This window comes from Homo sapiens, chromosome 3, assembly GCF_000001405.40.
Source record: "Homo sapiens chromosome 3, GRCh38.p14 Primary Assembly".
NCBI classification, from domain to species: Eukaryota; Metazoa; Chordata; class Mammalia; order Primates; family Hominidae; genus Homo; species Homo sapiens.
In genome coordinates this window covers 184,082,953-184,084,485 of record NC_000003.12, presented here as the reverse complement: position 1 = coordinate 184,084,485, position 1,533 = coordinate 184,082,953, and the positions used below count along the sequence as shown (strand labels likewise).

Below are 1,533 nucleotides of genomic sequence, written 5' to 3'. Positions count from 1 at the left end.
AGTCTTTCTTTTCTATTAAATTATATTTCTAACATAAACATGTATCTTCTGAATGTATTCTATTTTGGAAATACATTCTCGTTTCTGGGAGTGCTAGCAGTGGTTCTATTTAACCACAGGAAGGGCTGGAGCAGGGATCATGGCATGGCTGGGGCTGGGTCTGCCGACTGCAGTGCAGAAGCAGCGCCTGGCATGGCCCGCTGAGGCCAAGGGAAGCTGAACCCTGCTGCTCGCGCACACTCAGAACTCAACTCCTAGGTGTTCCCGAGGCGGAAGAGCAGGGTGTCCATCGCGTGGCTGAACTGCACCCACAGCTCCACTAGCTGGGCGTTTGTCCATCCTGAGCCCCCATCTAGCTCAGTCTCTCCGGGTCTCACCTCCTTCCCTGCTAACTCCCCCGGCTCCTTTGGGCCTGTGGAGAGGACAGAGGCTCAGTCGTGGAGTGGGAAGGGGACAGGATTAGAGGAGTGCGGGGCCCAGTGTGAAGGGCGAGTATGGACAGTGCTGGCTTCCTTCACCAGGCAGGTGGGTGGGGGTGAGTCCCAGGCCCTTATTTCCCTTCTGGGGCGCAGTGGGACAGCATCTCCCTGGGCTGGTGCAGTGGAGCAGCAGGGAGTGAAGCCACCTAGGCATGGGTGGGGGCTGGGTGGTGGCCACGTGCAGCAGGTGGGTGATGAAGACGGTCTCCAGCAGGCTGCCCACCACCAGGGACAGGCAAAGTAGACACCTGGGCTGGGGATAAGAAGCAGGCTTGAGGCAGGTCCATAGGTGCCACTACTAAGCCCCCCTTTTCCCTGTTTCACACAGAGGGCCCTTCCTGAGACGCCTTCTTTCTCCCTTCTGCCTCAGGAGCCCCAGCAACCCTAAAAGAAAATACTTCTTTTTCTTTTTCCATTTTCCAACTGTGGGAGGAGCTGTGCTGATGAGGGGGTGACACTAGCGGGGAGTAGTGTATTCACCATGAGCAGGAAGACGCTGCAGCCCAGCTGAAGGGTGGCCTCGAATGGGGCATGATTCGCACTTTCTGCTAGTAGGTAGAAGCTGAGGGCATCGATGGCAACCAGAAAGCCCGTGGGGGGGCAGGCGCGGTGGCTTAGGCCTGTAATCCCAGCACTTCGGGAGGCCAGTGTGGGAGGATCTCTTGAGGCCAGGAGTTTGAGGTTACAGTGAGCTGTGATTGTGCCACTGCACTCCAGCCCGGGCAATAGAGTGAGACCCTGTCTCTAAAAAATATAGAGATAAATAAATTAAAAGAAAGCCACTGTGCACCAGAAAATTTATCACATAGAGGCTGGGCCTGCACCTGATGGCCACCTGGTGAGGAGGAATGAGCAGAGAACTGGTAAAGTCAGCCCTGAAGGGGGCCCAAAGGCTAGTTCCAGCCCTATCCTTCTTTGGTGTCCTCGCCCCAGCAAGGGCTCTCTCTATGGGGCTGAAAAAGAAGCAGCTTTCATATGACTAACAAGACGCCCCCATACCTCCAAACAAACCCTAGGCCAGAGCTGGCAGGTTCAAAAAGGGGTGATGCTTTAA

General features: G+C 55.4%; 1 pseudogene; it reads right to left on the bottom strand.

Moving 5' to 3' along the window:
* HTR3C2P (5-hydroxytryptamine receptor 3C2, pseudogene) lies at positions 267–1,314 on the bottom strand (annotated as a pseudogene).